Source organism: Homo sapiens, chromosome 1 (genome assembly GCF_000001405.40).
Source record: "Homo sapiens chromosome 1, GRCh38.p14 Primary Assembly".
Taxonomy (NCBI): domain Eukaryota; kingdom Metazoa; phylum Chordata; class Mammalia; order Primates; family Hominidae; genus Homo; species Homo sapiens.
Genome location: NC_000001.11, coordinates 33,929,349 through 33,954,116, shown reverse-complemented (window position 1 = coordinate 33,954,116; position 24,768 = coordinate 33,929,349). Strand labels below are relative to the sequence as shown.

Sequence of the window (24,768 nt, the reverse complement as noted above, 5' to 3'; positions counted from 1 at the left end):
GCCAGGTGCCTTGCATGGATTATCTGCCTGGGTCCACATAGCAACCCTAAGGGGTAGTTATATTATTATCCTCTTTATAGATGAAGAAACTGAGTCTTGGGGAGGGAAAGGACTTGCTCGAGGTACCATGATAGCATGGGGGATTGGAGAAGGGAGTGAGCATGGCAGGGAACCAGAATCACTGGGCAGTGGTACTGGGATTCTGAGCACTGGGCTTGTACCCTTATCCATGGGAAGTGCCCTGCAAATGAAGGCTAGTCTGATAAATTTTGGACATGCTCATAGCTGGCTCCTGAGTCAATAAAATCAATCCGTATCTCTCAGGGAGCAGGGTCAGCTTGAACAGGCAAGGCCCTTTTCTGGCAGGGACATTTTAAGCTTGGAATGGGGCTGTCAGGTGAGCCATGCTGGGCAAAAGCACTAGGAATCTATGCCTGAACTCGGGGGCCTGTGGCTCCTTTCTTCCTGGGAGGAGGGTCCATGTGTTTTATCTTCTCTCAAAAGATCCCTGACTCCAAACTGGTAAAGACCCACTTGGATTCTAGCCCATGGATCTCAGAAAAAGCTACAGACTCTATAAGGACTATGAGCTACAGAGATTGGGTTCTACTGCAAGCTTAGAGAGGGCAGGTTCCTGGGTCAGCTGGGCTGTAGGCATCATGGAAACGTTGCAAGTTGGCACAGGTTGAGGCTGCAGGACAGACAGACTGTGCGAGGATTCAGGGGCATGTGAGAGAAGCTGGTTCTGGCTGTGTAGCAGAGAATGGGTAGGCCATGGCTCTGCAAATTTAAATTCATTTATTGCTCATGTATCTGTCCTGGGCAGGTGTTTAATATGGTGGGGAGCTCTACTCCACCTGGAAATTCAGGGATAAAGCCTCCTTCCACCTTGGAGACACACATCCCCTTGGGTCTGATCAACAACATCCAGCCAATGTAGGAAGAACATGCAGGAGGCTGCATGGAGGTTTTTATGGGCTAAGCCTGGCCATGGCCTGTATCACTTTTGCCCATGGTCCACCTAACTGCAGGGAGGTCTAGGAAAGGTTGTCTAGCTGTGTGCCCCAAGAAGGGAAGATGGAATTTTGGTGGAGCTAGACTTTTTTTGCCACGTGCAGCCATCCAGCAAACATTTGCTGGTGCCCAATGCCTTACGGAATGTTTAAGGAACAGAAGCCCTGTGACGTGAGTTCAGTAAACATATGGCTGACAATCTCACAGAAAGCTAAGTTCATTGAGGTTGTCATCCATCCACTCATTTATACATCCATTCATTCATAGAGTCGTTGATTCAAGAAATAGTTTTTGCGTGTCTACTGTGTGCTGGCCACTGTGCTATATGCTGGGATACAAAAGTGAAAAAAGTCAGACAAGGTCTCTGTTTGCATGGAGCTTAAATGTTTGTGTGTGTGCATGTGTGTGTGTGTGTGTGTGTGTGTGTAAACAACAAAAACAAGAACCACATAAAATGATTACTCATGACTGTAAATGCTCTGAAGGTATAATAAAGGGTGGTGAGGCAGAATAGCTGAGGTTGGATTAAATGTCAGGATTAAATGTCTGAAGGTATAATAAAGGGTGGTGAGGCAGAATAGCTGAGGTTGGATTAAATGTCAGGGTAGGCTTCTCTGAGGAGGTGACATTTGAGTTGAGTGCTGAAAAACGATCATGAATGAGCAATGCAGAATGGAAGACAGAGAACTTCTGGGCCAGGGAATATTGTGTAAAGGCCCTGGGGCAGAGAAGAACTTCATGTACTTGAAGATTATCCACCATCACTACTGTTATTCTTATTCAGACCTCTACCTCTTTGCTCTATTAGTTTTCCTCTGCTTAATACCACTGGTTCTGTAACTGGACCATCAAATTCAACAGCTCTGTTCAGTCCTGTTCTGGCTTTAGCTATCTTGGTGGCATTTCACACATTGCCAGCCAAGTTTTCATTCTCAAGATACTTGGGGTCATCACAGCCTCTTGGTCAGAGTTTCCTAGGACTCAGCCCTTAACTGCTCTTCTCCTTCTCTCTACCTTGGCTCCTGTGGCCTCCCCACCATGCTGAGTGTCCATGGAGGTGTGTACAAAGCACACTGGACCACTTGGCTCCACGGAGGAGAGGGGGATGTCTTCCCAGAGGTGACATTTGAACTGAGTCTTGAAAGGTTGAGAAGGATTTGCCAGATGATGAAAATCACAAGAGTACTTCAGAGGTGGGGCCAGCAACTGCAGAGGCCAAGGGGCGTGAAAGGGCACAAAGGAGAGATCACAGAAGGAGAGGTGACGAAGGAGCAGGAGTGTGCGTGGTTGAGGGTGTGGTAGGGATGGAAGTAGCGGGAGGAAAACCTGGACAGATGGCTGAGTCCAGATTGTGTAGGACATTAAATGTCTTGCTAAGAAGTAGACAGTTTCTTCTGCCGGCATCAAAGAGTCACAAGAAGCTTAAGGATGGTGCCTGGGTTTGTTTTATAGGCAGGTGAGTGTTGGAGCGAGGATTGGAGAAGGAAGTGAGCCTGGCAGGGAACCTGAAGTGGAGGACGGGCGAGGGGGTAGGTGGGAGAAAGCCAGGGAAGAGATTGATTTTTCTTGGCAGTCAACGATGTAAATGGCTGGCATAATTGCTTGACACAGAGCCTATCCTTAAAGGTCATTTGGCCTCACCTCTTCTTAGGGGTTGCAGCCCGGGATGGGCTCTGATAGTTTTTTAAATACAAGAGCACCTTTTGTAGAGTGTAAGCATAATGAGGGCAGGGAGGACATTCATCATCAGATCCCAGCAAACCACCAAGGTGTGAAGACACCAGTTGAATGAGTTAATGAATGAGCAGCTCCAGTAAGCCATGTGCCTCTTGAACAGATGACAGAATGGAGTGCAATGTCCCTAACATTTAGACAAATTCTTGTCTCATTGCTCAAGGGAGGGAAGAGAGAACCAGGCTGGCTTCCGCAGCCTCTCTCCAGCCCTGGAGATGTGTGCTAACAGACTGGCCTGGGAAAAGAGGGTGGAAGGTTGGAGACTTGGCCAATGTCAGTCAGGAATGACTGTGGGTCAGATTGTCAGATAGAGGACCAAGGGGAAAGAGAAATTGGGGTTCTCAGGTGTCTAGAAAAACACCCAAGGTTCTGGATGATGCCCGACTCAATGCTGTAATCAGTTAGGAGCTGGAATTAACAGCTTTCTATCTTTGGTGAACAATCACCATGGTGGAACAATGAGGTCAACAGCAGCTCTTCAGAGACATGAAGACAGACGCATCCCAATCCTTGGCTGAATAGGAAGGAGGGAGACAAGATACCCAGGGACATGGCATAAGGCTTCTTCTATGCATATGACCTGTGCCCCAGGACAGTTGCAGGCCAGGTCTAGAGAGTGTGGAGTGCAGCTCCCTCTTTTTCACCTGGGGAGATTTAGGGCCTGGTAACACCTAACTCCCAGGCCTTGAGTTCCTGGGCCTGTCAGTAGCCTAGCCTTTGCTGTAAATGTCATCTTGCCCAACTATGCCAACCACTGGCTTCTCAACCACGTTTCCCTCAATGCCCATCCTCAACAGGCTCTCCTACCTGAATACCCACATGCCATGTCCCTGCACATACCCACATACCCACACATTTCATAGTTATGCAGTTTACATGCATATATAGACACACACATGCTCATGTAACACCAACACACCAGCATGACTATAGACACAAACTCTCCTCTCTCTCTCTCTCTCTCTCTCTCTCTCTCTCTCTCTCTGCTGGAGGAGAAATAAGGAGAGCCATTGTTGCTGGAACATTGGGTGTGAGGAGGAGACGGGTACGTACAGTTGGAGACATGGGTGGGGCTAGCTCATGGAGGACCTTGAGTGATATTCTAGAGCTTGACACCAACTGAAGCGCTTTTAGGAGGGAAGAGCCATGATCCTACTAGTTGTTTAGAGAATGGGTTGGATTGGGGCAAGTCTGAAGACAGAACAATGAGGAGGCTATCTCCAAGTCCAAGAGAAGAAACTGAGATAGGGTAGGGCCTGGTCCTGGAGCCTGAGCAATGGGGTGGGGGCAGATATGAGAGATGGAAGGAAGGTAATTCAAGAGACTGGGTGTGAGACCAGATGAGGTCTCAGCTTGGATGGCTGGCTGGATGATGGGCCAGTCCCAGATGCAAGGAACCCAGGGGAGAGATGGGTTTGGGGCAAGGGCAGGAGAGTAATTTGGGCCATGTGCAGTTGGAGGCACTTCTGAGATTTTCACTTAGAGAAGCCCGAAAGTAGCAAGACTTGGGGTCTGGAGTCAGGAGGAAGGTCTGGGCTGGGATTTTGCACACAGGAAGTTAGGAGTCACTAACCCTGGGAACAAGAGCCTGGAAAGCAAGCAGTGGGGGCTTCTGTACTCTTGGCCATGTGCCACTTCTTGTCTCTGGAACATCCTTCCTTCTCTGTCAAGACCATACCAAATGCCTCTTCCAGGAAACTTCTCCAAATTATTCCTTCCCCTCATCCCTGAAGTTGTGAGCCACTGGCTGGTGAGCCAGGGCAGCACAGGGCAGCTGAGGCGAGGATCAGAGAGGGGACAAGGTCTGAGTCCATTGATACACAGGGTCTCCTCTTGCATTTCAGTTTGCAGCTGGGTAGGACTATTCACGAATGATTCTTATTAGGCTGTACGGGAGGTCTTTAGAATTCAAAGCAACAGACCGCTCCCTGGCTCAACAAGAGCAGTGTAGGTCTAAGGGATGCCGCCTGCCTGGCAGAGCCAGGGTGCATCCCATGTTCTGGCTCCTGGGGCCATCTGCCCTCCCCAGCCACTGTACCCGGCTTCTCTCTTTTTCAGCTCCAGCCTCTCCCACACTGCCCTGGCATCTTCTCCCAGGGAATCCAGGGGCTTATATGTAATCACATCCTAAACTTATTGAGCACTTCCTGTGTGTCAGACACTGAGATAAGCACTTTGCCTGGTTTATTGGACTTAATCCTCTCAACAGCTCTCTAAGCTGGGTGCGATTATTACCCCCATTTTATTGCTGAGGAAGCTGAGATGCAGGAAGGTGAAGTAGCTTACTATTTAAGTAACAGTGCTGGGGTTTGACCATGAACCCAGAGTACAGCTCCAGAGTCCACTCTCCTAATCCATACCTGTTATACAACCAGTAACCCACAGCCAGGAGAGGCACAGATGGAATTCACACCCAGGTCTATGGGACACCAGAGACATTTTCTGGACCATGATGCCCTGTGTCTCCCTGACCCTGACAGCCCTTGATCCCTACCTCTGAAATCACAGACTGAGCCAGCAGATGCTTGAGGCGTCTCTAGGGTCAGATCTACCTCTGCGCCTCTATCCCTGCATTCTGTACTGTGTCTGGGAAAACAGGAGCTTAAACACAAGTGTCAGGCAGGCCCCATGAGTGTGTGATATAACACTGGCTTCTGAGGGCTGTTCTGGTTGTATAAAGAGATACCTGTGCAAAAGTTTATTAATCCAAAGAGGCTATATGGAAATGGATCGGTATCTTGAGATGGACGTGGCTTGTACATAAACATGAGTGGTTTATTCAAATGTGTGGGAGAGTAAGTGTGTTGTATCCATTGTCATGTGTGTGAATGTAAGAGCTGTGTTCAGACGCATCCTGAATTTGCCTGTTTTTATATATGCATGTTTATGTGTATGAGAATGTACATGTGTGCATGTCTCTTGTAAAGGGGAATATGTAAAGGGGATGTGAATGGATGGATTTGTGCATGTTGAGTGTGAGTGTGTGTTAGTATGCCTGTGTTTCTGTGTAAGACATTTTTGGGTCTTCCAATTAAGGAGCTTGTCCAGGGCAGAAGGCAGAGGGTAGAGTCCATTCTACCACCTGCCTCTATGACTTCAGAGGACCTGAACAGATGGCTTCCCCCTGCACAGGGTCCTCCATGAAGCCTTTGGAGAAGTAGTTGGACTCCAGAGATGAGTGAAAATTAATGGATGAGGCAGGGGCTCTCCTTTCCTACTGTTCCTGATCCTCAAACTGCAAAATGTTCACCAAGTACCATCTTTGGCCCAGTTAGGGAGACCTGTAGGAAACAAAGCCTCAAAGCAGACTCTGTAGCCAGCAAGATAGTCTTATGACTCACCAACTCTTCCTTCACTTCTACAGCAGCTAAGAAAGAAGGTGCCAAAGTCAGGCTGACTAGGTGTACACCCCAGTTCCCCTGGTTCCATGCTGTGTGAATGTGAGCAAGTGACTCACCCTCTCTGCGCCTCAGTTTCCTCTCCTGTCCAATGGGCACAGTATCCACCTCAGTGCTATTATGAGCATTAAATGAGAAAGGATTAAGTGTGAAGTTTGTCATAGAAGTGGTCCGTAAGCGATGGTGCTTATGCTGAAGGAGGAAGTGAGGAGGATGAGGATTCACAGGACACCCTACGGGAACTCAAGTGCACCACACGTTGAATCCCTGTCTTTTGCAGTCGCCCTGTTCACCATCATTTGCAGAAGGTGGTTGATGGTGGTCAGACGCCTCTTCCTCAGTTCCTCTTTGGGCCCCTCTGTCTAACTCTTCTTGGAAGGAGAGAGGCCGTGGGTCTGGAGCCTTGGGAACATGGTGCTTCTTCCAGTAAAATACAAGTTCAGCTGTCTCTTGCCTTAAGAGAGATGGCTGTGAGGTGTGCTGGGGCTTCAGGGCCGTGGACGGGGAGCCAAGTGGAGGAAATAGGGGCTCTGGAGTTCTGTTGTCTAAGGGATTAGTTGATGTGTGGGACATCATTATGGGCATCCCAAGTAATGCAGGTCCTCAAGGCAATACTTCCCTACCAGCCAGCAGGATATAGGGGACTAAGACTCAGCCTTGGGCAGGGGCAGCAGAGCCTGGCCCAGAGCAGGGCTCCCACCCTGGGGGAGGTTAAGGAGATAACAAGGCTAGTTATGCAGTCTGTTAGGACAGCCCTGGCAAGGGATAGAGTAACCTTCCAGGTGTGCAGCCTCACCAATAGTTATAAACCCCAGCCTCAAGGCAGGACCCTCCAGCCAGGTTCAGAGCCTCCTCCTCTTTGAGCTCCTTTGCCAGGATTGGTTCAGGGCTGAGGCCATAGGAGATGACATTCTATCTGCAGCTGGACAGGGATGTGGGCCAAACATGGCAGCCCTGGCCATAAACCTCCCAAAGCCTGAGGGTCATTCTGACCCAGACAAACAGAAAACCTATCCTGCTATAAAAATTGTCAGGTGGCCGGGCGGGGTGGCTCATGCCTATAATCCCAGCACTTTGGGAGGCTAAGGCAGGTGGATCACTTGAGGTCAGGAATTGGAGACCAGCCTAGCTAACACGGTAAAAACCCCATCTCTACTAAAAATACAAAAAAAAAAAAAAAGTTAGCTGGACATGGTGGGTGGTGCGCGCCTGTAATCCCAGTTACTCAGGAGGCTGAGGCAGGAGACTCGCTTGAACCTGGGAGGTGAAGGTTGCAGTGAGCCAAGATTATGCCACTGCACTCCACCCTGGGCGACAGAGTAAGACTCCGTCTCAAAAAAAAAAAAAAAAGTTGTCAGATGAAAAGAAAGAAGGTATCTCTTTGTCCTCTTTGTCCTTTCTTAACATGCTACATTCCTCTGGAAGTGACAAGTTTACTTCTTTTGTAAGAATTGATTTTACCACCACAAGTTACTAGCCAATGGGTCATAGAAGACCTTAGGCCAATCCTGCCCCCAGAACAAACAGTTGTTTGCATGTTCCAGTGGGAGACATGTTTGTCAAGAAAAACATTTTCACATTAACCTGGAAAGTTCTATGTAAACGTCAAGTACCCTTGCTATTGTTGTTTTATTTTCATAATGACTAGTACAGAAAGTAAAGCAACTCAGGTTTATCTTATTCCAGAATCCAACACCTCCCAAAATGTGTTTCGCAGAACAATTCAGAGTTTATTAGGCATTACTGAGAGTAAAGTTCCAAAGTCAGGGCAGTGATTATGTAGTCAAATTTTTGGAAATTCTGGATTAAGCAAGGTTAAGCAGGTTTCTCCTGCAGAAACTCTCAGATAAACTTGTGAGCACTGGTTTCTTCAAGAGGGAGGGAGTTTCTGTTGTATTTTTTAAAATTACCTGACACACTGAATGTTTTTCTTATTAAGTTTATTTCTCAGCCAGTGTATCATAGAACACACCGGAAAATAATTTTCTACCCCACTATGCAATTAATCAAATTTAGCCTCAAATTGCATATTTAGCTATTCTAAGCCTAATACTAACAGTATTTAGCCATGTTTCACCATAGGGTACCACTTATTTTCCATGTGTTTTTCTGTCTAGATATATTTGATCATCCCTGGGCTAGGGTGCTGTCGGGGCAGATCGGGCTGAGCAGGGGGCAGCAGGGCAGGTGCTGGAGAGGTTCACATAGGCCGCAGGATGAAGGACCTGGTGCCAGCCTAATGCTCTTCCTCCAAGGGACCAAGGCTTGCCACAGTCTTCTGAAACAGGGGCAGCACGTGTTACTGGTTTGGAAAAACTGAACTTCCCTTAGAGAGTGACAGGAGCAGGAAGGAGGCAATGTGGCTCCCTGCTCCCCTGCAATCTTGCTGTATCCCAAACCTTCTCAGGTCCTACCCTAGGAGGCCCTGAAACATCCCCCTCTGCATCCACTCTTCCAGCTCAATATTAAATTCCTTAAAGGCAGGGTCTAGCTCTTCCCCTTTTCCTCTGCCCCATTTCCCCAGAGAAATGGCCCCAACTTTTTAAGAGGTTGAAGTCTTTGACGCAGAAGAGATACCTCTTCCCTCTGGGTCAGGGTTGCCCAAATTGGCAAATTAAAATACAAGAAACCCAGTTAAATTTGAATTTCAAATAACAAAGTCTTTTTAGTATAAGCATATTCCAAATATCCCAAGGGATATCCTTATACTGTAGAAGGGTTTGTGTTTTTCTGAACTTCAAATCGAACTGGGAGTCCTATATTTTACTTGGCAGCTCTATTCTGGGGCCTATGATGTTTCCTTCTTGGTGGTGCTTCTTTAAAGAATCCCAGGTGGAAGAGAGGAAGCCATGGGTTCTGTGGTTAGGAAGCAGCAAGGAGAGTTCTGTTCTGACAGCCTCTCTGTGGCCCCTCTGGTGCAATGATGGATGTCTTTGCAGCCCCAGCTAGTCTAGGTTGGAGGAAAGGGGCCAAGGAGAGCTCTGACTGGATGTGGGTTGGGAATCCTCTAGGCCTGGCAAGGAGAGGAACTCTGAAGTTACCAAGAGCATGGACTCCACACTGGGGAAGCAGTGAAACAAACAAGGGTCTTGAATCCTGGGAGATCAAGATTACAACATGGTAAAAGGCACAGCCCTTAGATCAAGCAGCTTGGGTTTTAACCCCAGCTTTGATCCCAACCTGCATTGTAGCCCCGGGTAAGAGTTAGCCCGGCTGTTCCTCAGTTTCCTCCCTGTAAAAAGGAGACAGTTGTAGTACCTCCGTCCGCATAAGATGAAATAGAAGAATGCTAAGCAATGTGCCCAGCTCATAGTAAACACTCAAGCCGTGACTATTATTACTTTCACTACTCCTACTAGCTGTGTGACCCTTCGGATCTCTAAATTCAACTCTCTCTTTGGTAAAATGAGGTCATCTTTACCAACCTAAAGATTAGCTATAAAGACTAAAAATGAATCCTATTTTAATGGGGAAGGGTGGAGGCTATAAATACACAAGCCCTTCCCTGCAGTCAGCACAATGCCCACCTGTCCCCAGGGCCAAATGGTAGGGAAAAGGAAATTTGATGTAGGTCTCAATCTTCAAGTGCCACCTGCCTGTCTCTTCCAGTACCTGCTAGTCACCTCTGTCCAGCACCTTCCCTGGTGCAGCCCACTCGCCCCACAGTCCCTTCCCATCGTTGACTCCCATCAAAACTGAGCTTTCCTCACTTGCTTTTATCACAGGAGTTGGGGGGGGGGCGTTCCTGAGATATGAATCATATGCCTCACATAAGTACATAACTGAATAAACACTAGTTCAGGGTCAGCAAACTGTGGTCTGTGGGTCAGCTGGCTATTTTTATAACTAAAGTTTGGTTAGAACACATATTGCCTGTGGCTGCTTTCACACTGCATGGAAAAAATCAGGTCCCTGTGACAGAGACCATATAGCCTGCAAGGCCAAAAAATATTTACTATCTGGCCCTGTATGGAAAATGTTTGCCAATTCTTACACTATTTATTGCTTCGTGTGTGTGTGTGTGTGTGTGTGTGTGTGTGTGTGTAATTCTGATTAATATATAATATATATTTTATTATGTATACATATATATTTAATTCACTCAACACATTCCGGCTTCAACTAAGCACTCGCTTCCTGCCAGACATGAAATCAAATGCTAGATATATAAAGAATACAGCACTGTTCCTGCCCCTCAAGGAGTCCAGAGATGAAAATAGACACCTAAAGAAACAATTACAACAAGCAGGCTCAGCTCCTGTTTGGAAGCCAGGGTGTTATAAGTGGATGAATGAATGAATTACAATGTACAACAAAGTGCAGGAATTGAAGCGCAAGGAAACCCCCACGTAACTCCTTAGATGGGGTCCAAAAAAACCCAATCATGTAAAATGTGGGCTTGTGAGATTGCAACATTAACAAAATGAACAGAGGGAGCCTGCCTATTTCATGGGCCAGGAGATTCAGGATTCTAACAGCCAATTGCCAATGACATTGTGACAGTATTTATAGTCAATCAAGATGTGTTCTTGTGGGATCTTATGGGTTATACAAGACACTTAGGGTATCAAGGAGGGCTTTACGGAGGAGGTGACATTTAAGTGTGGCTTTGATGGAGTTTGCCAGATGAAGAATTTGAGAGAAAAGGTAGAGAGGACAAGATGAGAGAAGGCAGAAAAAACGTCAGCAACAGTCAGATCACAAGGATGGGGGCAGCCTAGGCCTAAGCTTTAATTCGTACTGATGGCAACAGAGAGGTTCTTAAGGTTTTCTTTTTATTTCCTTTTTTTAAAAATTAATCTTTCAAATTATTATGTATTCTCATGAGAGTCACCCAGAAGACCATAGGTTCTGTGTTTGCCTGTGCCTTGGTGGTAAGGAACTTACTTTTATAATGTGGGCTCCTGGCAGGGTCAATAGGGCATGGCCATGGTGAATTTGTCATTCTAGAATGCTGGCTCCAGCATTGCTGAGGACAATGCACTGGAGAGGGCAAGGCCAGCAGTGAGAAGATCAGAGTTGGGCACAGAAGTCCAGGGAAGAGACCATGAGGGTCTTCAAATGAGAAGGAAGTTATAGGGCTAGTGTGGTTTATGGAGGACAGGAAACTCTAGGAGAGAGGCCACATTTGCTGCTGTCAGAAGTAAAAACCTAAAAACAAGAAAGGCCCTGGAGATTGAGCAGTTAAAGCTCAGAGAGATAAACCCAGCTGGGCCAGTGGAATAACTTACATGAATAGGTTAGTGGGAGTTGTTCTCAATCTCAGCTTTTCAGTCTCCTGGAGCAGCCGAGGCTCTGTTTCTCACGTTATGATTCAGCAGGTTTAGGGACAGGGTCTAAGCATCAGTATCTTTATAAAACTTTCCACATAACCATGATGCTGAAGGTTGCAGAATCACAAACATGAGTCGAGAGAATAGGCTTATGGCGGAGGGCTTCTGCCTGACAATGGTTAGGGCAAAGCCCAGCAGGGCGGGGCCCTCTGACTAGTTGTGGGTGGCATCCTCCATCTGATGCCCTGGCACCTCTGCCTCTATTTGATTGACAGGTAGCAGGAAATATACAGGACCAACCTAGAGGTCAGCTTGCCTGGTTGTCACCCCAAATCCTCTCCCTCAGGAGAATGCATGTGAATTCCTTGTGAGAATGTTTCAAGGTACAGTAGTCACTATGGACTTCCTGTGGAATGGACTGTGCAAGAATGGCCTATTGCAGGCAGAAATGTGGAATCCCAGACAGTGATGTGAAAACCTGCCTCTGCCCCTGCAGTGAGCTACGTGGCCTTGGATAAATGCTCCAACATCTCTGGCAACTATGCTTATCTCAACAAGTGATGATAATAATAGCACCTCTCTCGATAGGTTGTTGGGAGGATTAAATAAGATCATTAAGTCTCTCAGTAAGCTTTTATGAAGTTATTATTATACATCAGGCACTGTTCTTGGAACTGAGAAACAGCGTTGAACAAAAAAGACCAAAAAATGCCTGTCCTTATGGAGCTTACACTGTAGCAAGGTGAGACTAACAATAAACAGATGGATGTATCAAGCAAAAATACATATCATTTGTAGTATATGAAGTATATTAACTTTATATATGACATATATAAAATGTATAATTATATATCTCATGTATAATAAAATATAAATATATATCAGTTGAATGGAGAGGAAATGGAGACAGCAAGTATAGAAAACTCTTTGGGGATGGAAATATATGAAAAGCACTTGACATTAAGGATAGCACAGAGTAAGTATGCTATGAATTATGTTTAAAAGGCCAAACCGCTAAAAATAAGGGAGTCGTAAAGATTAAGTAAGCTAATATATGATGCAGAAGTGCCTAGCACAGATCTGGGACTCAAAAAAGAGTAGTTTTTATTCTTCCCTCCCTGATCCTGCCCACTGCCCCCAGATCACACACATATGGACACACGTACACAGGCATCACCTTCTCTTCTTTCCATGATGAGGATTGTGGGAAGACTAAATCCTTCTCCCTGAATTCTTCTTCCCAACTAGCCTACCACTTGGTATCAATCGTATGGCCATGGAGATGAAACAAGTTACTTGATGGAAGAGAAGAAATCAAAACATATGGAGGGTGCTTGTCCAGAGAGCATAAATGACTCTTCATTATAATAAGGGAACCAAAGTCTCAAATTAAAAATAAAAGAAGGCATGATGTAGCTTTTGCTGCACTTCAGCCACAGAGGAGATTCATTGTCATGCAATCACTGAGAATATTACGTTGATTGGCAAGAGTCGGGCTTTGTAGAAGAGACAAAAATTCCCCACAGCTAATCTACAATGGAATTGTTCAATGTCAGGCACTGCTTTAATAATATTGTTCTGGGCTGCGTTGGATGTAAATATCCCCCTCTTCATTTGGTAAGCAATCAAAGGGAAGCTTTATAGATGGGAGAGCATGAACGGTTATAGTATCTGTGCTAAAAAATACACGGACATTCTAAAAAAAAAAATCAAAGAACACGGTGCCTTAGAAAGGATTCGCTTTGTAGCTTATCTCCAATCTCCTATGTCTGTCCAGCAGGTTGCACATTAGACACATAACAAAAGACCACACTTTAAATGTTGCCCTTGACATTATTAAAAAGTACAGGACTGGCAAATCAGACTGGGAAAAAAATCAGACTATTAAATCTGGACAGTCGGGTAATCTCTCTTCATCTTATTGCAGTGCCTAGAATGATGAAAGGAGTAAGGGAACTCTTGTTTATTAAGCACCCACTATGTGCTTGGATGCTTTGCCTCTGTCAGAAGCAGTCTCACATTCCAGAGTGCTGAACAATGGAGGCAGAAAGACCGAGGTCCTCAACCTAGCTCTGCCATTTTCTAGTTGTTTGGCCTTGGGCAAGCAAGTGAATGAAGCTCTCTGTGCCTGTTTTTTTTTCACCTGTAAAATGAGGATACTCCATATCCCACAAGATAAAGTGCCTGGTATGTTTCAGGTCCTGGACTAAAAGTAAAATAAGCTTTTAGTCCAGGACCTGAAACGTACTAGGCACTCAGGGGTAGGTATTATAAGTTGAATTTTAATCTGCGCAACAGCCCTGTGATGAGTTGAATTGTGTCTCCCTAAAAGCTATGTTGAAGACTTAACCCCCAGTACCTGTGAATATGACCTCATTTGGAACAGGGTCTTTGCAGATGATTAAGTTAGGATGAGGTCATTAGGATGTGTACCCTATCCAATATGAGTGGTGTCCTTATAAAAAAGGGACATTCAGACACAGAAACAAAGCAAGAGAACACCGTGTGAAGACAGAGGATTGGAATGACGCATCTGCAAGCCAAGGAACAACAAAAATTGCCAGCAAACCACCAGAAGCTAGGAAGAGAAAAGGAAGGATTCACCTACAAGTTTCAAAGAGATCATGGCTCTGCTGACACCTTGATTTTAAACTTCTAGCCTTCATAACTGTGAGAAAATAAGTTTCTGTTGTTTTCAGCCACCTAGTTTGTGGTGCTGTTACAGGAGTCCTAGCAAATGAAAACACCCTTACAGGATGAAAAAGTATCCCCAGTTTCTGAAGAATTGAAGGCCAGTGAGGGAAAGTTTACAGCTCAAGATTGCGCAGCCAGATCGGGGATTTGAACCCATGTCTCTCTGAGCCTAAAGTCTGGCCTTTCTCCATCCACTGTGGGACCTCTCAGGAGTGGAGCTTGGCATAAAAAAGCAGGTGGGGTTGGAAATGAGCCCCATTCATTACACCCAGGTCCCAATGGAAGCATCAGGTCAGAGTGGTCTGATTGTGAACAGCTCATTAAGTAAAGAGCAGTGAGCTTTTGAGAGTGACTTTTTAAGAAGAATCGACTTTTATTTATAGTGATGTTCCAGTCATTAATTTCGAAGGAAGAAAGCCCAAAGCAGAAGCAGGTTCATTAAAAATTTGACATTAGTAATTTAATTAAATTGGGTCTTTGCGTCTCATTGCGGAAAATGACACGTTAGTTCTACACCAGTTCTCAGCTCATTTCCCCTAGTTGGCTCCCTCCCCTCACCTTAGCTTGCTTTTTTCTCCAAATGTTTACCTGACCTGCCCTTCCCACCCCACACTCATAAGCACACACACATCACAGTCATTGCCTCTGCTGTAAGACACCTGCATAGGATTATGGGAAACACCAAGTGAGCCAGCAGCAGGGCATCATGGGAAATGCCAAGTGAACCAGCAGCAGGGACTGATCATAGAAGATGCTAAATAAGCCAGGAGCATGGGATCTCATGGGATACACCAAATAAGCAAGCTGCAGGGGATCATGGGAAGTACCAAGTAAGCCAGTAGTGTGGGATCATGGGAAATGTTAAGTAAGCCAGCAACAGTACAGGATCATGGGAAACACCAAGTAAGTCAGCAGCAGATCATGGGAAGTATCAAGTAAGCCAGCAGCATGGGATCATGGGAAATGCCAAGTAAACCAGCAGCAGGGGATCACGGGAAACGCCAAGTAAGCCAAGAGCAAAAGATGGGAAGTACCAACTAAGCCAGCAGCATGGGATGATGGGAAATGCCAAGTAAGTCAGCAGCAAGGGATCATGGGAAATGCCAAGTAAGCCAGCAACATGGGATTATGGGAAATGCCAAGTAAGCCAGCGGCAGGAGATTATGGGAAATGCCAAGTAAGCCAGCAGTGTGGGATCATGGGAAATGCCAAGTAAGCCAGCAGCAGGGGATCATGGGAAATGCCAAGTAAGCCAGCAGTGTGGGATCATAGGAAATGCCAAGTAAGCCAGCAGCAGTACAGGATCATGGGAAACACCAGGTAAGTCAGCAGCAGGAGACCATGGGAAGTACCAAGTAAGCCAACAGCAGGGGATCATGGGAAATGCCAAGTAAGCCAGCAACATGGTATCATGGGAAATGCCAAGTAAGCCAGCAACATGGGATCATGGGAAATGCTAAGTAAACCAGCAACATGGGATCATAGGGAATGCCAAGTAAACCAGCAGCAGGGGATCATGGGAAATGCCAAATAAGCCAGCAGTGTGAGATCATGGGAAATGCCAAGTAAGCCAGCAACATGGGATCATGGGAAATGCCAAGTAAGCCAGCAGCAGGGGATCATGGGAAATGCCAAGTAAGCCAGCAGCAGTACAGGATCATGGGAAACACCAGGCAAGCCAGCAGCAGGGGAATATGATAAATGCTAAGTAAGCCAGCAGCACAGGATCATGGGAAATGCTAAGTAAACTAGCAGTGTGGGATCATGGGAAATGCTAAGCTGGGCCAATGGACAGGGCAATAGAGGTAAATCTTTTCATCTAGATCATCTCACTTGGCACAGGTAAAGAATGGGCAAGGAAGAGCTCTTCAGTCTTTAAGATTCACTCTCACAAAAATATAAGCCTCTGAGGGCTGGCCCCACTGTGCCAAGCACGGTAAGCCCACAATGAATTTTTGTTGCATGAAGGAATTAATACATGAATGAGTAACTCTCCAAATAACTAATTAATGAACATGCACATATGTCCCTACAAGTGCCAGGCACTGTGCTAGTCTCCCAGGATATACCTATGAACCAGACTAGGCCCACGCCCTCATGGCCCTGTGGCCCAATGGAATGAGAACATTTGCCATTTTGTGAGCACCTACTATGTTCTGGGCGTTGTGCCAGGCATGCAGCATTTATATTGGTAACTCCCTCAACCGCTAAATATTATTGGCCTCACTCCTTTCTCATTTGAAGAAACTAAGGCTCAGAGAGTTCATGTGACTCAAGGTCACACAGAATAAGACATGATGGCACCTGGTTTCACACCCAGATCAGGCTGGTTCCAAAGTCTACCATTACCCTCTACACTGAGCTGTTTCCTCTCAGAGGAGGAAGAGAGGAAGGGGGAGGGAATACCTTTTTTCAGAGGGTTCTGAGATCATCAGAGCTGGTAGAGGGTTCTGGAAGGCAGATACTAACAGCAACATTGGCAGGAAGAGGGTATTGCAAGGACTAGGGGGGCCATTTAGAGTCCAGGCCTGCCCACTTCCACTTCCCCATCACTGCCACCCCACTCTTTTACTCCAGGCTCCCTCAGCTCCTGGGTTATCTCTGGCCTCAGGGCCTTTGCACATGCTGTTTGCTCTTTTTTGCTTAGCTAAGTCTTACTAATCTCCCAGGGTTCTGCAGAGATGTCACCTCCTCCAGGAAGTGATCTCTGACCTCTCCCCCAGCTGGGTTTGGTTCCCTACCTGTTCCTGTCCCATCATAACTCTTAGTGTGCCATTAATTGTGCACAGCACCCACTGTACCGAGGGTTAGATTCACTTGCGTTGTACTCACTGTACATCAGGCTCTGTCCTAAGCACTTTGCATACCTGAACTGGCTTAATTCTTGCAACAATTATTTTGATATAAGGAAGGTGCTGTTGAGCTCCCTATCTTACAAATGAGGAAACTAAAGTGCAAAAAGGTTAAAAGACTTACTCACGGTCCCACAGGTGGTAAGATTTCAGGCTGGGAAGTGAACTCAAGCACGGTGGCTTCCAAGTCTGCACTTACCACCATCCGGCTGCATGGCCTCTCAGAGACAGCCTCAATAAGTCATTGCCAGGTGGATTAATGGAGAGGTACTTAAACGGTAGTCTGGGCATGACTAAGACCCCTACTCCTCACCCCATGGGGGTATCCTAGAATGATAGGAGGTGTTGACCTTTAAGGCACAGGCAGTTCTAACTCTGGGGGACAAGGCAGAGGGCAGGGGGAAGCTGGGTCAGTTAGAACAGGTGACTGACTTATGGGCACAGAGAATCTGTGTCCTCCCTCCCTCCTTATTGCCAGGTCATGGTGCTCTTGCACCTTCCCCAAGACCATTTCCTCTGCCTCATGAGAGCACACTTGCAGGTGACCATGATTGCTTGGCTCTGGCCACACACTGTGCATGGTGTTTCCTGGCTCCCAATTTTCCCCCTTTAAACCAGTCAGGCTGATGAGAACCCGGGTTCTTGTTTTCCCACTTCACTGCCTATTCTGCCTAATCCAACCCTTTCAACTCCCCTGAACCTGCGGGGCCAAAGTGCCCCTCTGGCTGCCAGGGTGGATCACACATGAAAGAAAGGACACTGGATTTAATGAGCACCTACTCTTATGCCATGCCTTATGTCCCTTCCATGGTATTTAGTGAGGAGTGTGGAGTCTGAAATCAGGCCAGCCATGCCCAAGAGGTTAAAGTAATATTCCTGGAATTGCATCTCTAGTGATCAGGATGAACATAATTCACATCCATGGCTGCGCATTAGAAAAGGCAAGAGACCTGGACATCCAGTTGTAAACTCATGTGTGAGATTTTGAGTAACCCTTGTCTCTTATGAGTAACCCATTCCCAGGGAATCTACAGCCTTGAGAAGCGGGCAGATCAGCAGTGGGCAATGCTGTTCACAGAAGAAGAAATGAGTTCCAGGAAGCCCGAGTGGCCTAGGGAGTTGCTACTAGGAAGCCCGGTGTCAGGGCTCCAGCCCAGCTCACGGGGTACCCGTCTCTTTCTCTGTTTCTCCTCACAGTTCTCCCCAGCCACACATGTGGGAACCCAGGGAGGCTGCCCAATGGCATCCAGCAGGGTTCAACCTTCAACCTCGGTGACAAGGTCCGCTACAGCTGCAACCTTGGCTTCTTCCTGGAGGGCCACGCCGTGCTCACCTGCCACGCTGGCTCTGAGAACAGCGCCACGTGGGACTTCCCCCTGCCTTCCTGCAGAGGTAGGTGGCCAGCAAGGGGTCTGACAGAGTGGGGCAGTGGCTGGGAGGTGATGCTGGAGCTTCCAGTGACATCCAGTCTCAAAGGGCAAAGCTACACCCCAGCAGGGAGGGGGGTACCCAAGTCTGGACAGCACAGAGGGTTTTCAGGGTCCTCAAGTGTTCTAGGGGTATTTCAACCTCACCTGACCTCCTAACCCTCAAGTGTGCACTCCCTCATTTTTTCCCCTGTATCAACAAACTTATATGTAGCCAGTCTTCCCTTACCTCTAGCCCTCCTGTCTCAGAAGAAACATCATTTCTCTTCCTATTGCAGACCCTCTCTCCTCTTGTGGAAGCCAGATCACTTTCCCAACAGCTTTCGTACTGACCTCACTGTAGGAATTATTCTTTTCTCTTTCCTATAAATTCAGCCTCTCTCCCTATCTAATAGTTTCTTCCTTTCAGCCTCCAAATATGCTCAAAATCTCTTTACTCCAACAACCCCCTCCCCCAGAAAAACACCTCTCTTCTATGCTGTGTCGGCCTCAGCCTCCCAGCTAGGTTGACCAACTTGTTCATATTTGCCCAAGACCTTCCCAATTTTAGTCCTGAAAGTTCCGCATCCTGGAAACCCACTCAGTTTCAGGCAACAGAGACATTTGTCACTCTACTCCCAGCCTATTCCTTACACAATCTTCTTTTTTTTTTCCTTTCTTCCTTTCTTTTTTCTTTCATTCTTTTTCTTTTTTCTTTTTTTTTTTTTTTTTAATTTTATTTGAGACAGGATCTTCCTCTGTCCTCCGTGCTGGAGTGCAGTGACGTAATCATGGCTCACTGCAGCCTCAAACTCCTGGGATCAAGCGATCCTCCTGCCTCAGCCTCTGGAGTTGCAGGGACCGCAGGCATGTGCCACCATGCCCGGCTAATTTTTTTTTTTTTTTTTTTTTCATGGAGACAGAGTCTCTCTATGTTGCCCAGGCTGGTCTTGAACTCCTGAGCTCAAATGATCCTCCGGCCTTGGCATCCCAAAGTGCTGAGATTACAGGCATAAGCCACCATACGTGGCACACGATCATTTTTAAAAGCTTAGAAAATACAGAAGGGAATAAAGAAGAAAGAAAATTTACCTGTTTTAACTGTGATTTTAATGTATGTCCTTTCCATCTTCTTCCAATACGTATTGCACATATGCATATATTACAAATATGTACATAAATTGAGATTATGATGCATGCAGACAATTTTTAACCACCTTTGAAAAACAATCAATCACATCACACTGTAAGATTTCCCATGCCATCAACATAGCCCAGCATCTTGAAAGCTCCATCCAGCCTTGTCCCTCCTTTTCCCTTCTCATTTACTCCTCTGCAGACTGGCCTTTGCCCTCAATATTTGCATCATTTTGCCAAATCAGATGGGAATTGTTTTGGCTCTTGTATTTCTTGACCTCTTAAGAAACCTTTGCACTATTGACCACTCTTTTCTTCTAGTAACGCTCATCTCTAAATTCCATGGATCCTGAACATCCATATATCAGTCTGGGAGGAACATTTCCAGGAGTTGAGAAGTCATTGGAATAACTAGCTCCTCCTTTAGTTCAAATTTTATTTTTCTTTTGGAGGAAGATTTTCTGTAATTACTGTAAAAGACTAGCTCCAGGGATAAGCAACTCCTTCTTCCTGCCACATGCACACACTTTTTGTTATTGACACCAAGGATAAAAATTACATGGCATGTATACCTATTCCCCTTCTTCCCAATCCCATGGCAGACATAATTAATTGTTCATTGCACCCTTTCTGCTTGGGTCCAGACACAGCTGTGAATTCCCTCCCAATAGGCAAGCCACAGCCAATCAATCTGAGTTGCCACTTGACTTCACCTTTGTTTACCTCTCCTCAACCAATAGAATGGGCCTTGGCCATGTTGAGCCTTCTTGGTGGACCACAAGGGAACTAGAGTTCCCTTTCCTGCTTTCCTAAGTCCCATCTTCCCAGGCCCCATTCCTAACTCAGGAACTGCCTCTTTCCATGATGGACTTCAGGAATTACCAAACCAATCAGGTGAGACCTTGGCCCCTACACAGGTGTGTGGCCTAACCACAGCCTGAAAGCTGCTGTATCTGCCCTTCCTTATAGCATCCTTACCCACCCCCTGCCTTAAGGATGTTACCGTTAACATTCTGATCTTCCAAGGAGGGTGTCAGAGTTGTGACACGATGATAGAATATGAAATATGATAGTAAATAAAATCAAGTGTCTAAGTTATGAAATATAAACTGCAGTTCTTTTTCTTTTTGCAGCACTATAAATGCCATGCTATTTTGTTCAAGATAAAAACCAGAAACAAATGTAATCCAATTACTGGATGCAGCGGGGGTATCACTCTGCTTGGGGAAGTAAAATACTCAGCAATATCCAATGCTAATATGGTGGAAATCCACTAACCCTCCTAATATCTCCAGGAATCTGTCAGCTTTAGCTTCCTCTGAATCTTGAACTCAATGCCCTGTCTCCCTACCCCTGCTTCTGCTCTGCCAACTTAGGTTGGGAACTGGGTCCATTTTTCTTGGATCCCCTACTTCTCCAAAAGACAAAATACAAGCCAACAAACAAAAACATCAACGAAGGCGTCTGCATGTAGTTCAGGCTTTATGGAAGGTGTGGCAATGCAAGGAGCTTACATCTTAGCAATGCAAATGACTTAAAATGAAAGTATGAGCAACCAGGAGCTTCACAGTCTTTTGGCCCCTCCTCCCGGGAAGCTTCTCCCTGGCTTCTGTCTTGGCAGGCTCCAGGTTCCCCTGTGATGTGCATTGTACCCTCTCTTCTTTCTCCAGCCTCTTCCACCTTGGTGCTGCCTGCACCTTGAGCCCATTTCAGAATTTCCATCAACTTCTTAGGCACAAGAGCCTGGTTTCCTCTTGGTTTTGTCATCTCCTTGCAGTCTAATGTCTCCCCTCCTCCTCCAAGCTATTTAGGTATAGGGTAGTATTTTCCTGAACAAAGAGAACTCTCATTCTATAAGACACTCTGGGGCTGGATGTTAACATATCTTTTTGTTACCCCACCAGCCAGAGATAAGTGATGAGGGGCACCTCATGGAGGTCTTCTACCTCTTGGATGTCTTCATGTCCAATCAAGGCTCACAACCCAGTGTCTTTGTGTCCAGGCACAGCGGGCAGCAAGGGCTGGCCCTTCCGAGGGAAGGAGCAGGGTGGAGAGATACCACTCTTCTGGCATTCACACCACACAGTAATTCATGGGCCTGGGCGGGGGTGGCATGTCTTTTGGTGGCACGACTCTCTGAAGTCTTCCAATTCTTTTTTCGTCGTCTGAAATGATGATGATTCTTTCCCTCCTTCTCCTTCACTGACTTTCCACCCTCATTCCCCTTAAATACTGGAGGGCCCAGCTCGGCCTCTTCTCTGGGGATTTCTTCCATCTCTTGGAATTTCTCATCTACTGTGTTGCTGTAATTGTTACTAGGGGGCAACTCTCCAATCCCCACCTCCAACCCCATTCTCTGTCCTGAGCTTCAGGCCCCTGTGGAGAGTGAACTATGCTAAAGTTCTCCTCAGCTTGTTTCAAACTTGGCCCATGAAAACCTCACTCTTCCTGCTTTCCCCAAACCTGCTCTTTTTGTTGCCTTCCCCAGCTCAGTGAAAAGTGTCCCCACCAACAGTGGCCAAGCTGAACCCCTCAGGGCATCTTACATTCTTGCTTTTCTTGCTGTTCACATCGCATCATCGGCCCCCATGTCCCTCTGCACCAGCCTACCCCCTCCACATCTCTGTTGCTCTTCAGATGATGGTCCAGGCTCTCTCGTCTCTCACTTGCCTCACTGAAGGTTGACCCTCTGTAGGCAGGTGTGCCCCAGTTCTCTCCTGCTCACACCAGCCCATTCCTACCTGTACTGCTAGGGAGAACTTGCTAAGGCACAGATCTGACAAAACTGAGTGGCTCAGTCCCTTAGTGGCTCTTCATCACTGACGGGGTCTAGTTCAGATTCCTTAGCATGGAGCAGAAGGCTCTTCCAGAAAGAGCCCCACCCCAATCTTTCCAGTCTGTCTCTTAGACTTATTTTAAGTAGCTTCCACTTTAGCCACACCAGAGAATGCTCCCTTCCAAACGCCCTAGGGAAGCCAGCTGAGGATGTCAAATCCTGCTTCTAGAAGGGCTTCCAGCCCCCTGCTGCCTGAGGGGTCTGAGATGTGGTTCTGCTCAAAGGCTGGGAGAGAATAAAATGACTTTCCAACTCTCAGACCCCCTAGGGCTTCCCCCCACCCCCAGTCACCTCCCTACCTTCAGGTTCATCTCTATTATAATCCCCACAAGCTACAAGAATATCCTAAGAAACATCCTCAATAATGTCAGTGATTTTATAAAAGTGATTTCCCAAACTGTTCTTCCTTAGGAGGCCAAGCTAAACAGGAACAAAGGGTACCCACCATACACCCATCCTGTGCCAGGAGTGGTGGTCATGCCAGAGTGAACAGGTTCATACTTGGGAAGCATTAAAAGCCTTTTGGCCTTTCTTCCTCTCGTGTAGAACTCTCAAGAGCTGGCATCTGCGAGTGGGTAAACCTCATCCACTGGGCAGTGGTCCGTAAATATTTGCTGAATGAACGGCTGTCTGGATGGGTCTAATTCACCATCAGAATCATGCTAGCATACAAGCCCGAAAGGGAAATTACTAGCCTGGGTTACCCCACCTGCCCAGTAGCTCTGAGTGACAATCTCTTTAAGTCCAAAGCTTCCCGGAGCAGACTGGAAAGCCGTGTGTGTCTGTTTTATCTAGGAAATGTCATGTGCCCAGCTGGAGGGTGGACTTGGTCTGGGGACACAGCACAGACTAGGAGTGGGGGAATAGGGAACAGCTGGGAATAGGGGGGAGCCAGGTGTAAGGCCGACCCCCAAGGAGGCCCATCCCAAAGATCCTGACCCATCAAGGCTTGGTCCAGCTGACAGAGGGAAGGAGATGGGGCCTGTGACCCCCCTTCACTTTGTGTCACACTGGGCACGTTTTCAAAAGCAGAGGTCCCTGGGAGGTGCTGAGCTTTGTGTCATCTCTTTGATCCACAAGAGGGAAGATCATGTGGATTTCAGCAACAGGCCTCTGATTTATGAGGGCCATTGGCCCTGGATCAAAGAAGGCTGCATGGGGAAGTGACGGAATTCATATGCACTGGGGACTGAGAGGCAGGTGGTAGGGAGAAAGCTGGCCAGAGCAAGAAGTGCTTAGCCTCTGAGGTTCAAGCCAAACACGGCAGGCTGTCACCATACCTGGGGAAGACGGAATACGGTCTGCAGAAGCTTGGACTGCAAGCGCTGAGCTGTATTCCAAATTTTCTGGCCCCAGGGGAAGAAACCTGCAGAATGTGAAAAAGAAGCAGTGGTGTCGGGTATGGACAGTGCATAGAGTCAGACTGGCCTGGGTTCAACCCTAGGTAAGCCAGCCCCTAGCTGTGTGGTTGCCAGGGGTGCTGCTAAACCCCTCTGAGTTTTAAAGGTGGGACACAAGTAGCAGCCTTACAGGGCTGATTGTGTCCTCATTTTATTCACTTGGCTACTCAACAACTTTCTCTTGAGTGCCTGTTATGAGCCAGCCAGTCATTAATTCAATTATCATTTATTGACTGCCTATACAGTGCCAAATATTGTTCTAGACTCAGAGAATTGGAATGATGAGCAAATCTGACCAAATTCCATGATCTCTTGGAGTTTACATTCTAGCAGCCAGGAGGCAGAAAACAGATACACACGCCAAATAAACAGGTGGTGGTAGGAGCTACGAGGAAGTAAAGTCTTAGCCAGTGATGGGGAAGGCTACTTTAGACGGAGCAGTCAGGGGAGGCCTCTGTGGGGAGGTGGCCTCTGAAATGAGTCCTGTGACAAGGAGGAGCCTGTTGTGTGAAGACCTGGAAAACGGCATTCCTGGCAAAAGAAGCAGCAAGTGCAAAGGCCCTGAGGTGGGGGAAAGTACTGGACACGCTAGAGGAACAGAAAACAAGCCCCTGTGGCAAAAGTAGAGTGAGGGGTGGGTGGAGAGGGCAGGGATGGGGTGAAGCAAGGTAAGAAAGCGGAGGCTGAAGCGGGCAGATCGCGAGATCAGGAGTTTGAGACCAGCCTGACCAACATGGTGAAACTCCATCTCTACTAAAAATACAAAAATTAGCTGGACGTGGTGTCACATGCCTGTAATCCCAGCTACTCAGGAGGCTGAGTCAGGAGAATCTCTTGAATCCGGGAGGTGGAGGTTTCAGTGAGCTGAGATCATGCCACTGCACTCCAACCTGAGTGACAGAGCAAGACTCTATCTCAAAAAAAAAAAAAAAAAAAAAAAGTATAGGCTTGGTTCTGAGTTCAGGAGGCAACCAGGGGAGAGTTTTAAGCAGAAGTATAGTCCAATTTAACTTAATTTTTTTAA

At 46.8% G+C, this 24,768-nt stretch overlaps 1 protein-coding gene across 12 annotated transcripts in view; it reads left to right on the top strand.

Moving 5' to 3' along the window:
- The window catches only part of CSMD2 (CUB and Sushi multiple domains 2), a 651,845-nt gene that overhangs the window by 211,726 nt on the left and 415,351 nt on the right, over positions 1 to 24,768 (top strand). For all 12 annotated transcript variants that reach the window (XM_047443685.1, XM_047443656.1, NM_052896.5 and 9 more), the window contains exon 4: positions 18,163 to 18,357. In XM_047443685.1, the coding sequence (XP_047299641.1) occupies positions 18,163 to 18,357 (195 nt within the window). The remainder of the gene's footprint in view (positions 1 to 18,162; positions 18,358 to 24,768) is intronic.